The 14353-nt window shown below is 39.7% G+C and overlaps 1 protein-coding gene and 1 non-coding gene across 4 annotated transcripts in view; one reads left to right on the forward strand and one right to left on the reverse strand.

Annotated features, from left to right (window-relative positions):
- The first annotated feature begins 1963 nt into the window (after positions 1-1963).
- LOC124906351 (small nucleolar RNA U13) lies at positions 1964-2066 on the forward strand. Its single transcript, XR_007096318.1, has one exon. It is a non-coding gene; the product is annotated as a small nucleolar RNA U13 (small nucleolar RNA).
- A 486-nt stretch (positions 2067-2552) lies between these two features.
- The window catches only part of SNX4 (sorting nexin 4), a 73553-nt gene continuing 61752 nt past the window's right edge, over positions 2553-14353 (reverse strand). For all 3 annotated transcript variants that reach the window (NR_073435.2, NM_003794.4, XM_017007414.3), the window contains 4 exons: positions 13169-13268; positions 9713-9858; positions 7208-7322; positions 2553-3729 (listed from right to left, as the gene is read on the reverse strand). Coding sequence is in view for 2 of the 3 variants with exons in the window: in NM_003794.4 (NP_003785.1) it covers positions 3682-3729; positions 7208-7322; positions 9713-9858; positions 13169-13268 (409 nt within the window). In the remaining variant the exon portion in view is untranslated. The remainder of the gene's footprint in view (positions 3730-7207; positions 7323-9712; positions 9859-13168; positions 13269-14353) is intronic.

Consider the following 14353-nt stretch of genomic DNA (forward strand, 5'->3'; position numbering starts at 1 on the left):
TTTTTGGATATAAATGAAGGTTAAATATGACTCCGGTTAATTTAATGCTTTAACTATACCATACCAACCACATCACTAATACACTGTCAAGATGCAATCTTCCTTTCTTACTAATTACATTAACTTGATGAGTCACTTTTCTTTAGTTATTGCTTATATTGCCTTTTAATATTTATCTTTGCTGAACTAATTCTCCCATCTTTTTAATAATTCATTTTAATTCCTGATTTTTAAATACTTAAAAGGGTTATAACAAAGGTTATTTTCTTTATACTTAGTCTGGATAGTACAAAAAAATTTCCATCATAAAATTCTTTTTTTTTTTAAAGGAATGATTGTGCTAGAAAATGAAACAATTTTTTTTTTTTTTTTTTTTTTTTTTTTTTTTTTGAGACAGAGTCTCACTCTGTTGCCCAGGCTGGAATGTAGTGGTGCAATCTCGGCTCACTGCAACCTCTGCCTCCCAGGTTCAAGCGATTCCCCTGCCTCAGCCTCCCGAGTAACTGGGATTACAGGTGCCCACCACCACGCCTGGCTAATTTTTGTATTTTTAGGAGAGTATTTGTATTTGTAATTCATGTATTTTCACCATGTTAGCCAGGCTGCTCTTGAATTTCTGACCTCAGGTGATCCACCCGCCTTGGCCTCCCAAAATGCTGGGATAACAGGTGTGAGCCACCACACCCAGCAATACAATTTTCAAAAGGAACCCCGTCAAGATATTCCTAGTTAAATATACACATAACCAAATGTACATTTGTATATTTTAGAGAAAATAACATAATTTTTGTTATTTTAATTGTAGCAACAGAGTCTAGCTATGTTGCCCAGGCTATTCTTCAACTCCTTAAGATGGCCTTAAGTTGCCTCAGCCTTCCAAAGTGCTGGGGTTACAGGCATGTAACTGCACCCAGTCTAGAGTTTTCTTAAATCTTTTTATTTATTTATTTTTGAGACAGGATCTCACTATGTCGCCTGGGCTGGTTTGAGACAGGATCTCACTATGTTGCCTGGGCTGGAGTGCAGTGGTGTGATTATGACTCACTGTACCCTCAAGCTCCCAGGTTCAAGTGATGCTCCTACCTAAGCCTTCTGAGTAGCTGGGTAGGGATTACATAGGTGTGCACCACCACACTCGACTAATTTTTGTATTTTTTGTAGAGATGGGTTTTCGCCATGTTGCCCAGGCTGGTCTTGAACTGGGCTCAAGCAGTCGAACCACCTCAGCCTTTCAAAGTGCTGGGATTACAGGCATGAGCCATGGAACTTAAATCATTTTTGAAACATAGTTAATAATGGCCTTCTCAAATTAAGTCAGCTAGTAGAAAAAAGTCTAACATTTTACATCGAGTCCAAAGCTAGTTTGGGGGAAAAGGCTTTTGATCTTTAAATGCCAAGGGGAAAGGTATTTTATCTGTCAAGAGATGATACAATTCAGTGGAATAAAATGTGTATCCACACAGATGACTTTTGCTTCTACCAATTTTATCTTTTATAAAACCCTGACATGGCCGGGTACAGGGGCTCCTGCCTATATCTCAGCACTTTGGGAGCCAACGGGGTAGGATCGCTTGAGCCCAGGAGTTTGAGACCAGCCTGGGCAACACAGTGAGACTTCATCTTTACAAGAATAAAATAAAAAAATTAGCCAGGCATGGTGGTGTACCTATGTAGTCCCAACTACTTGGGAGGCTAAGGTGGGAGGATCACTTGAGCCCCCAGAGGTTGAGGCTGCAGTGAGCCATAATTGTGCCACCATACTCCAGCCTGGGCGACAGAGACCCTGTCTCAAAACAAAACAGGCCGGGTCAGGGTGGCTCACGCCTGTAATCCCAGCACTTTGAGAGGCTGAAGCGGGAGGATTCCTTGAGCTCAGAAGTTCAGACCAGCCTGGGCAACATCAGACCCTGTCTCTTTTTTTTTTTTTAAAGTAAAACAAACAAAAACAAAAAAAAAACTCATGATCCTTTTGTGGTTCATAAGCATGATGATTGGGTATTCACACCCACGTGTGAGATGTGCCTCCCTCAAACCTTGTTACAACTTCAACCATTACCCATCTGACAGTAAAAAAAAAAAAAAAAAAAAGTAAAATTTTAAAAATCATGTCTTATTTCAGCATCTTATATTTTTAAAAACCAATATTTTGGTAGATGACAAATTTATACCATTAATAACTTTATTTTTTTTTCTTTCCTCAACTTTTGTTTTAGGTTCAGGGGATACCTGTGTAGGTTTGCTACATGGGTAAATTGTGTGTTGCTGGGGATTCGTGTACAAATGATTTTATCACCCAGGGAGTGAGCATAGTAACCAATAGCTAGTTTTTCGACCCTCGCCTTCCTCCGAATCTGCCCCTTCAAGGAGGCCCTGGTGTCTATTGTTCCCATCTTTGCGTTCATGTGTACTCAATGTTTAGCTCTCACTGATAAGTGAGAACATGTGGCATTAATCACTTTAAAACATAGTATGACAGATATCATTTTCTTACAGAGCATCAGATATTAATATGTATGGATCACTTTGTTAAATTAACAAAAATCATCTGAAAATCAGCACAATATTTCATTTATTTATTGTATAAGTTTGGCAAACAGCACAAAAATCCAGCAACATTTAAAACATATAAAAAAGTCAAATGCTAAACAGGACTAGGGATTTTTTTTTACATCATTAGAAATAACGAGTACACATTTTAAGATTCTGCAAAGCTAGCAAAATGAAGATGCTTGCCTTCTGAACATATACTACAAACACACATACAAAAAAACAATATAATTTATCTTTACAAAAATTACAGCCAAGCAATAGAAAAGAAGGATGTTAATGATGAAGATAGCAACACATATGTTTAGTACATATATCTTACACATTGAAATGCTACATCTTATACCCTGAAATGCCATGTGTAGAGAGCCAAGCAGAGTAAATTTAGGCTCATTACTGAGGTTAAGAATTATTTGAGAAGAATTTAATTCTTATATGTAACATATTCAGTTAAAACTTTCTATATAGGAGTTGCTAGAGGATGACAATGTATCCCATTATAGATCTGAGAAGTTGAGTCTTCTTTGTTGGCAGTATAAAATTTCTGACCAGTATCAAAATTCTGGTAAAACACAAATTGAAGGCATTTTCTAGTGTATGCAAACATTACAAGGGGCATCAATGAATGTAGAAGAAAATCGTAGATTTTTCACATCAAGTTTCTGCTGAGCTTTGTCAAACCAAATAGCTCAACTATAAGGCAAGAGAAAACAACTCCCTATAACAGATTAGTGGATCTTACCAAGTAAATATAGGAATTCAATCTTAGGGAAAAATTCCCTACATTAATAGATCTGAAACAGCTGGTCTTGAAACAAACATCTAGAAATTAACGAACATCTTGACATTCAGTCATTGGTTCAGAAGCGTGACAAACAATCTGTTGGTATATATTATTAAATTAACTTTTTGGAATCAGCACCAGTCCCCAAAACCTCAAATTATAATATTTAATCTTCATTAAAATATATTTTTTGTGCTACATTAACACGACCACAATTAAGTTAAAGAAAGCTGAATTTATTTAACTTATTGTATATGTTTATGTATACTAGGTAGTGACTTAAATTTCTTTTATTTACTTGTGCTTCTGTTTTGGGGCACTTTGATTGAAGAGAAATTCAATTCACAGGATTACATCTTGCTAAAGCATTCCTTAGCATTGGTCCAAACTTGAATTCCCTAAAAATAAAAATAAAAACTTTAAAATGTGAGTTTGGAAGGAATCTGAAAACCCAAGTACTTGGCTTAGTGGTACACTAAGTTTTGCTTTTTGGAATAATTAAGAAGTCGAGAAAATATGACACTATTTTGGGAAGTGGCTAATATAAGCAAATGTCTAATGCTTCTGAAAAGAGAAACAGAATCTCTAATACGAACTTATCTTCAAAATGGAAAAAGAACTCCTACAACTTGTTGGAAAACTGAGTTAATTCATTTCATATCACATACTCGAGTAATTTCTATTTGTAAATCAAACAAGTTTTCAGTCTTTTTTTTTTTTTGGAGATAGGGTCTCACTCTGTTACCCAGGCTGGAGTATAATCATGGCTCATTGCAGCCTTGACCTCCAGGGCTCAAGGGATCCTCCCACCTCAGCCTGCCAAGTAGCTGGGATCACAAGTGCACGCCACCACACCTGGCTTATTTTTTGTATTTTTTTTTTTTTTTGTAGAAATGGAATCTCACTATGTTACCCAGGCTGGTCTGGAATTCCTGGGCTCAAGCGACCTGCTTGCCTCTGCCTCCCAAAGTGCTGGCATCACAGGTGTGAGCCACAGTGCCCGGCTCGGTTTTTTCAATGTAATATTTGAAACAAAAAACTTCATTAGTCTAACAAATATAAATTGAGTTATTAAATTATCACTCTAATAACTAAAGTTTTGATAAAAACTAATTATGTACTAAATTACTGAATCCCTCTTAGTACCTGAAGTTACTTAGCACAGTTATAGATGGCCTAATATGCATAAGCAAAAATACATGTTTATAGAGATGTAACAGTAAAACTTAAGGGTTTTTTCCTTTTTTTTTTTTTTTTTTTTTTTTGAGACAGAGTCTTGCTCTGTCGCCCAGGCTGGAGTGCAGTGGCGCGATCTCGGCTCACTGCAAGCTCCACCTCCCGGGTTCACACCATTCTACCACCTCAGCCTCCCAAGTAGCTGGGACTACAGGCGCCTGCCACCATGCCCAGCTAATTTTTTGTATTTTTAGTAGAGATGAGATTTCACCGTGTGTTAGGCAGGATGGTGTCGATCTCCTGACCTCGTGATCCACCTGCCTTGGCCTCCCAAAATGCTGGGATTACAGGAGTGAGCCACTGTACCCGGCAAGGGTTTTTTTCAGTAAGGTATTTTTTCAATAAGATACATATTCTCCAATAATTACTCATTTATGAGAAAGGAACTTTTTAATACTTAATCATTAAAGTGTGTCATTTATTAAGGTTTTGAACAATTTTCTTTTTCTTCTCTTTTCTTTTTGAAAGAAGGTCTCGGGCCAGGTGCGGTGGCTCACACCCGTAATCCCAGCACTTTGGGAGGTGGAGGCAGGCGGATCATGAGATCAGGAGTTTGAGACCAGCCTGGCCAACATGGTGAAACCGTCTCTCCTAAAGATACAAAAAAATTAGTCAGGCATGGTGACACACACCTGTAATCCCATCTACTCGGCTGGATGAGGTAGAATTGCTTGAACACGGGAGGCGGAGGTTGTAGTGAGCTGAGATCATGCCATTGCACTCCAGCCTGGGTGACAGGGTGAGACTCTGTCTCAAAAAAAAAAAAAAGAAAGAAAGAAAGAAAGAAGGTCTCACTATGTTGCCCAGCCTAGTCTTGAACTCCTGGGATCAAGTGATCCTCCTGCCTCAACCTCCCAAATAGCTAGGATCACATATAAAAATCTATATCACTTAGGCAAGAAAACAAAACGACAAAATTGCATAGTACCATTCTTGGGAAACAAGGTGAACATAAACTCTTATTAAACTTTTTGTTTTACTAGTTATCTAAGGATTTGTGAATAAACCTACAAAATATCCAACAGTATGTCCAAATACAGCTATAGTAGTATCTTTTATATTCACAGATTAAATTTCTAGCACCCTCAACCACTGCAGCCTAAACAAAACGGAGGGGGAAAGTCCTTTGAGACATTATATAAAGGTCTTGCACTTTACTTTGGAAAGAAGTGAATGAGAGATCACAAGGAGCTTATTAATGAGTCTTTTACAGGAAAAACAAAAAAACTAAAAACCTTTGTTATCTGGTCTTTCAGATTTCTTGAGGTTAAAAAGTTAGATTGGAAAAAGGACTGTACTACTGGGTGTGGTGGCTCATGCCTATAATCCCAGCAATTTGGGAGGCCAGGGCGGGAGGACTGCTTGAGCCCAGGAGTTTAAGATCAGCCTGGGTGACACAGTAAGACCCCATTTCAACAAAAAAAGAAGAAAAAAGAAAAAGACAATGGATTGTAAATATCTAGCACCTAGCTGCAGGCAAGAAGAGGTGACAGAATGAAGGCAAAAAAAAGATAGAGATGCTACCAAACTACAACATACTCAACCTTTAGCACCTGCAGACTCAACAGTCACGATCTAAACTTGTTTTAAGTGACTCCAAAGATCCACGGTATACAGTAACTTATAATTCACTGAGCATAAATATGAATTTGTCCAAACCAAATGGAGCCCACTTAACCAGTGAGTGCGTATGGTGTTTATGCCTCAAAATATCTTTGTTCTCTCAGTGATGGCCCACAGCCAAAAAATAAAATTTTGGGACAAACTAAAGCATAAGAATTGTATATATATTTATATGAGTGTGATTTTGCCCTATAAATGTGAGAATTCATCTTACCATGTAATTTACTGAGATAATGCATGTAAAAGTGCTTGATAAATTATGACAGGTGATACAAATCAAAGCACTGGTACTGGTAGTCACACTGGCAGATCTTAGGTTATAAAAAAGAGGTTAAGGAATGTTTCCTATTTTGTTCTTAAACCAACGTTTTAGAAAGTCTTCCATCATTGTCAAACATTTATTTTAACTAGAATAAGCTTCAATGTTTGTATCTTTCACTATGGATATCAGCAACACAAATGATTTACTTTATGAGGAAGCATATCATAACCAGGTCTTCACGAAATAATGTTCAAGCTATTTTCCAATCAAAGCATATACCTGGAATGGTATTTTACTGTCTGGTCCAAGAGTACCATATGATCTAAATAATCTTGGTATATATTCTCAAATACAAGTTATAAATGGAGATACAAATTTGGACTTTAGATGAGTGGAGACTCAGTAATGGGCATACTGGTTGTAACACCAGTAGAGGCTGGACATGGTGGCTCGCACCTGTAATTGCAGCACTTTGGGAGGCCGAGGCAGGAGGACTATATGAGGCCAGGAGTTCGAGACCAGCCTGGGCAACATAGCGAGACCCCCCCATATCTATTTTTTAAATATTTAAAATTTTAAAATAAAAAAACCAAAACAAAATAAAACAGAAATCCTACAAAATTAAAATAGAGAAATTGGTAAACATTCTACAAGAGAAGAATAAAAATGAAAAATTTTTTGGTCAGGTAATTTAAATACATGTATAAGCACTTCTGAATATACATATATCTTCACTGAAACAGGAAAAACCCTACCTTTTTGCACATACTGATCTGCATGACTGCATAGCTTATGAGGGCCTCCTTTAAGTCTCGGTTCTTTTGTTCTTTGAAGCGTTCAATATCAGCCCATGCGTTTTTCACAAATTCTCTGAAATAAAAGGTATAGCCATTATTATTATTTAAGTTAAATAAACTGTGTACTAAAAAGTTAACCAGTTCTCATTGGCGTTGGTTTTTAATTGCCTATGTAGAAGGAAGAGTTATTGCTTGTATAAGACAGTTTTTTTATTTTCCTAAAAATTATAGTTAGGGAAAAAGCAAACAGACAGTCATATATTCTTGTACCTTTTAATCTACTTTTTCTTTTTTTTTTGAGACAGAGTCTCACTCTGTTGCCCAGGCTGGAGTGTAGTGGCGTGATCTTGGCTCACTGCAGCCTCTGCATTCCGGGTTTGAGCAATTCTCCTGCCTTAGCCTCCTGAGTAGCTGGGATTACAGGCACACGCCACTACGCCCAACTAATTTTTGTATTTTTAGTAGAGACAGGGTTTCACCATGTTGGCCAGGCTGGGCTTGAACACCTGAGCTCAGGTGATCTGCCCACCTCAGCCTCCCAAACTGCTGGGATTACAGCGTGAGCCGCTGCACCTGGCCTAATAATCTAAGTTTTTGCCACAAGGATTCTACCTTTAAATTATTCCTATAAAATACACATAGATGACTCCTTAAGCCAGCTCACAAACCTAACAGGTGTCAGTCACAATGAAGTAAGTGCCTTCCAGGGGTCACTGGAAAATATACACTCTTTTGACAAGATGGATTATGAATCACGTTTAGCATTTTTTTTTTTTTGAGACCAAGTCTCGCTCTGTAGCCCAGGCTGGAGTGCAGAGGCGTGATCTTGGCTCACCACAACCTCCACATCCAGGGTTCTTGCCTCAGTCTCCAGAGTAGCTGGGATTACAGGCACACGCCACTGCACTCGGCTAATTTTTTGTATTTTTAGTAGAGACAAGGTTTCACCATGTTGGCCAGGCTGGTCTTGAACTTCCGACCTCAGGCAATCCACTCTCCTAGGCCTCCCAAAGTGCTAGGATTACAGGTGTGAGCCACCACGGCCAGCTGCATGTACTTGTTTTAAATCACAACCAAAGTTTAAAAACTTTTTTAGCCAGGCTTGGTAGCCGGTAGTCCCAGTGATTCGGGAGGCTGAGATGGGAGGATCACTTGAGCCCTGGACTTTGAGGTGGCAGCGAGCAACAATGGCACCACTGCACTCCGGCCTGGGCAGCAGGGTGAGACTCCGTCTCAAAAAAATGAAAAATAATAATAAAAATTAAAATCCCGAGAGGTATTTGTTTTTGGAGACAGAGTTTCACTCTGTCGCCCAGGCTAGAGTGCAGTGGCGTGATCTCCGCTCACTGCAAGCTCCACCTCCCAGGTTCACACCATTCTCCTGCCTCAGCCTCCCGAGTAGCTGGGACTGTAGGCGCCTGCCACCGCGCTCGGCTAATTTTTTTGGTTTTTAGTAGAGACAGGGTTTCAGCATGTTAGCCAGGATGGTCTCAAACTCCTGACCTCATGATCCACCCACCTCAGCCTCCCAAAGTGCTGGGATTACAGGCATGAGCTACCGCGCCCGGCCTGTCTTTTTTAATTCTATCTATTACTTTGCCATATTTGGTGCTAGTAGTTCTAAAAATGAACAAAACCACCTCAAAACCCAAAATACACTCTTGGTCTGCCTTGGTCTATTCACTGACTGTCAGATGAAAACAAAAATAAGAAAAATGAGTCAAACAGTGATAGTGGGTCTCTGAGAACTGAATTTCTAGAAATACTTATGTAACAATTACATGCTAAGCCCTATGTAAGGCACTGGGATGTGAATGTGGAAAAGATACAATCACTGACTTTGAAGGGCTTAAATTTAGCCAGGGATAGTCACACAGAACAATCAATCATCTAATACAAAACTGCCATACCATACTGGCATGAATTAAATGCCGTGATAGCCTGAGAAGGCTTCACAATGAAGTAACACTTCAGCTGGGTACTGAAGGAGGGGAGGGGAGAAGAAATGGTGGAGGGAAAGTACAAAGGGTAGAAATCAGGAATAGTGCAGGAAAATAATATTATGAAGTTGAAACTTTTATTTCTCTTTCCCCCACATTGAAACAACTGTTTCTATAACATTATTTTTGATAATTCAACTTTCTTTTATTTTTATTTATTTATTTATTTATTTATTTATTTCTGTAGAGACAGGGTCTTCCTACGTTGCCCAGGCTGGTCTCAAACTCCCAGGCTCAAGCAATCCTCCCACCTCAGCCTCCTAAAGTGTCAGGATTACAGGCGTGAGCCACCACACCCAGCGTGATAACTCAAATTTCTTAGGAATGCATTTTAAAGGAATAGGCTGTATTCAGGGATGCCAATGAAGCTGGGAATTGTTACCAAAATAAATAAATAAATAAATAAAATAATCTACCATATAGTCTACAAGCCTAGCTTACTTAAACATCGCAGCATCTTTACCTGCCTTCCAGATTTTTAGACTTTAGCTGTTGTTCTCCTTCATTTATTTGTTCTTCTAGCACCTTTATTCTGGCTTCTCTCTGCTCTGGAGTTTCTTGACCAAAGAGCTTGGTAGTCATTCCCTTCAAAGAGAATGTTCTCACAGTCTAAAAGGAAACAGAAACAGATGAATGGATAAACAAAATGCGGCATACACATACACATACAATGGAACATTATTCAGCCTTTAAAAGGAATCAAATCTGATATATGCTACAACATGGATAAACCTGCAGGACATTATGCTAAGTGAAATAAGACAGATACAAAAAGACAAATACTGTATGATTCCACTTATATGAGACACCAGTGTTTACACTGTATTAGGTATTAATAATCTAGAGATAATTTAAAGCAGGGGGTCCCCAACCCCAGAGCCACGGAGTGATACCAGTCCATGGCCTGTTTGGAACCAGGCTGCATAGCAGGAGGCAAGCGACCACCTGAGCTCTGCCTCCTGTCAGATCAGCAGCAGAGGCATTAGATTCTCTTAGGAGCACGAACCCTATTGTGAACTGCGCATGTGAGGGATCCAGGTTGTGTGTTCCTTGTGAAAATCTAATGCCTGAGATGATCTGAAATGAAACAGTTTCATCCCGAAATCATCCTCAGCACCCCCTGCCCTGGTCCATGGAAAAACTGTCTTCCACAAAACAGGTCCCTAGTGCCAAAAAGGTTGGCGACTGCTGATTTAAAGTATACAAAAGGATATGCACAGGTTACATGCAAATACTACACCATTTTATAGAAGGGACTTAAGCATCTGAGGATTTTGGTATCCCAGGGATCCTTAAACCAATCTCACTGAAGATACTGAGGGATGACTGCACTACTGAACTATATACTTAAAAATGGACAAGATGGTACATTTTATGTTATATATATTTCACTACACACACAAAGGAAATAGAAAACATTTGCCATATTTCCCCTAAGTCAGACAAAACCACCATAAGCTTCACAACCAGGGATCTCTTATATGAGTTTTTATTTATTTTTACAGAGTCATAGCCAAGAATCCTAATAGAATTTCTAACACTGAAATAATATGGAGTAGTCAAAAAGAAGACACTTCTAACTGAATTTCTTTTTTTTTTTGAAATGGGGTCTTGCTCTGTTGCCCAGGCTAGAATGTAATGGCACAATCATGGCTCACTGCAGCCTCAACCTCCTGGGCTCAAGTGATCCTCCCACCTCTGCCTCCCAAGTGGCTGGGACCACAGGTGCATGCCACCACACCCAGCTAATTTTTAAATTTTTGGTAAAGACAGGGTCTAGCTATATTAATCCACACTGGTCTCAAATTCCTGGGCTCAAGCAATTCTGGGTTTACGCCTCTGCTGCTAAAGGTGTCGGGATTGCCATTGTAAGCTACCATACCCGGCTTGAATTTCATAATCAAATGGAAAACTTCCACGTGAAATATTAGACGTTATTTCTTACTCTGTATGAATGATATTTTAAAAATTACTTTATGTTATAAAAAAAGTCGATAAATTCACTAGGCAACTATGGAAATAAACCAAACTAAAGAAGCATATTTAAAATCTGCATAACTCAACGCTCAAACTTGGGCATCTATTAATAAAACAGGATACCTAAATCCAAGCATGGGAAGGCAACCCCAAGCTTCACTGCTTTAACATTTCCTCACTCTCTGGAGTTTACTGAAGAAAACACTTTTCCCTTGACATGTAGGATAGAGAACCAAGCTCCCTGAAAATGGCCTGGGAACTTCTCCCACTGAGTTTTAAAAATAAACCAAGGGCCTAGTTTATACATGTGTCCTGGTCACAAGTCTTTCCCCACATATATCTGTGACTTTTCACAGATGTAGCCAGTGGGTAATCTCTGTGAAAAGCACTTTTAAAACTATAGTGCTTGGCCAGGCGCGCTGGCTCATGCCTATAATCCCAGCACTTTGGGTGGCCGAGGCGGGCGGATCACGAGGTCAGGAGATTCAGACCATCTTGGCTAACATGGTGAAACCCCGTCTGTACTAAAAGTGCAAAAAAAAAATTGGTCGGGCGTGGTGGCAGGCGCCTGTAGTCCCAGCTATTCAGGAGGCTGAGGCAGGAGAATGGTGTGAACCCAGGAGGTGGAGCTTGCAGTGAGCCACACTCTAACCTGGGCAACAGAGCGAAACTCGGTCTAAAAACAAACAAACAAACAAACAAAAACTACAGTGCTTATTAACTAAGTAGAGACATTGCTGCTGGTTTACTACTTTCAGAATGTGTGTTGCTCACCATGATGGCTGATTTATTGCAATGAAATAACTGGAGTAGAAAGCTGATTATAAAAATGATCCAAGACTAATGCAATCAGGTACAGAATTTTCCTCACAAGTACTCACTGTAAGCATTAAAGAATAAAGTACATCAAAAGCTCCCTGTTAGGCGAGATGCACTGGTTCTAAGTGGGTAAGGCTTTTCAAAGTCAACTAAAATTTCTGCAAAGTACCTTGCAAAGTTAAACCTGATAAAGGTCACTGCATGTTTTTTCACTTGGACTTAGAAACCAGATGATAGACTAGGCATGGTGGCTTACCCCTGTAATCCTAGCACTTTGGGAGGCGGAGGTGGGAGGATCACTTGAGTCCAGGAGTTTGAGACCACCCTGGTCAACATGATGAGACTATAAACAAAATTAGCCAGGCATGGGGGCACATGCCTGTGGTCCCAACTACTCAAGAGGCTGAGGCAGGAAGACCACTTGATCCCAGGAGTTTGAGGCTTCCATGAGCCCTGATCATACCACTGCACTCCAGCCTGGGAAACAGAACCAGACCTTGTCTCAAAAAATAAAAATTAATAAAAACAATTTTTTTGAGATGGAGTCTTGCTCTGTCACCCAGGCTGGAGTGCAGTGGCGTGACCTCGGGTCACTGCAACCTCCGATTCCCTGGTTCAAGCAATTCTTCTGCCTCACCTTCCCGAGTAGCTGGGACTACAGGCGTGAGGCACCACACCTGGCTAATTTTTGTATTTCTAGTAGAGATCGGGTTTCACCATGTTGGCCAGGCTAATCTCGAACTCCTGACCTCAGGTGATCCACTGGCCTTGGCCTCCCAAAGTGCTGGGATTACAGGTGTGAGCCACCGTGCCCAGCCCAATAATTTTTTTTTTTTTTAAAACGAAACCGGATGATACTGATTACACCAGAGAAATGTTGGCAAAATTTCTTATAATTCTATACAGTACATGGTTTTAATGGCTTACATCATTTTGTATCAAGATAATAATAAAAGAATTATAAAGTTACTCACAAATTATTCCCCTGTAAAAGGTTCAGCCGTCCTGAGTATTGTAACTGGAACTGATTCTACAGGAGTGAGTTACTCACTCAGAGTGAGTGCTTGTGAGGAACATTCCGTGTTGCTACAGTATCATCAGAGGCCAAAAGGAAAATACTCACCCCAGTTACCAGTTCCTCACACTGCTGCTTCTTGGATGCTAAGTCCTGAGCAGCCATCTCCAAGTCATACTGCATAAGTTCATGTTTCCTGCACACAGCCCTACAGATGAAAAAATGTGCTGCCATTTAACTTTTCCTTTAACATGTCAAACATTTTTTTCAAGGGTAGAGGAGAACCATTCACAATGTCTCGCTAGGGCAGAATGTGTGTGCCCAGAATTTTCAAGTTTAAAATGTAGTAGCCCAACATTAAAAATGGAATCTAATGGAATCTAGCAGAACCTAACCATAAAAACTTCATATATTCTTTTTTTTTTTTTTTTTTTTTTGAGACAGAGTTTTGCTCTTGTTGCCCAGGCTGGAGTGCAATGGCGCGATCTCGGCTCACTGCAACCTCCGCCTCCCGGGTTCAAATGATTCTCCTGCCTCAGCTTCCCTAGTAGATGGGATTACAGGCATGCGCCACCACACCCAGCTAATTTTGTATTTTTAGTAGAGATGGGAATTCTCCATATTGGCCAGGCTGGTCTCAAACTGCTGACCTGAGGTGACCCACCCACTTCGGCCTCCCAAAGTACTGGGATTACAGGCATGAGCCACCTGTACCCGGCCAAAAACGTCATATATTCTTAACACAAAAAAAGTTGTTTTCCATATACTTGGAACATTTCTTTCAATAAACATGCCATTATCACATACATAAAACATTTTTTAATGTATGTGAGAACTACATACATAATGTATACATATGTATACATAATTACATACATAATGAACTACATACATAATTAGTTCTTACATAATGTAAGAACTAATGCTGTAATCTCACATAGCAACTGAGTATTCTTAGAAAAGATAATACCTCAAAGTTTTCTTCTTTGTGATTTAGAAATGTCTATTAGGTATTTTTTTTTTTTTTTTTTTGGAGACAAGGTCTCACTCTGTCACCCAGGCTGGAGGGCAATGGTGCAATCTCGGCTAAATGCAACCTCTGCCTCCTGGGCTCAGGCAATCCTCCCACCTCAGCCTCCTAAGTAGCTGGGACTAAGGCATGTGCCACCATATCCAACTAATTTGTGCTTTGTAGAGATGGGGTCTCGCCCATGTTGCCCAGGCTGGTCTCAAACTCATGGGCTCAAGCAATCCATCCACCTCAGTTTCCCAAAGTGCTAGGATTATATGCAT

Source organism: Homo sapiens, chromosome 3 (assembly GCF_000001405.40).
Source record: "Homo sapiens chromosome 3, GRCh38.p14 Primary Assembly".
Lineage (NCBI taxonomy): Eukaryota > Metazoa > Chordata > Mammalia > Primates > Hominidae > Homo > Homo sapiens.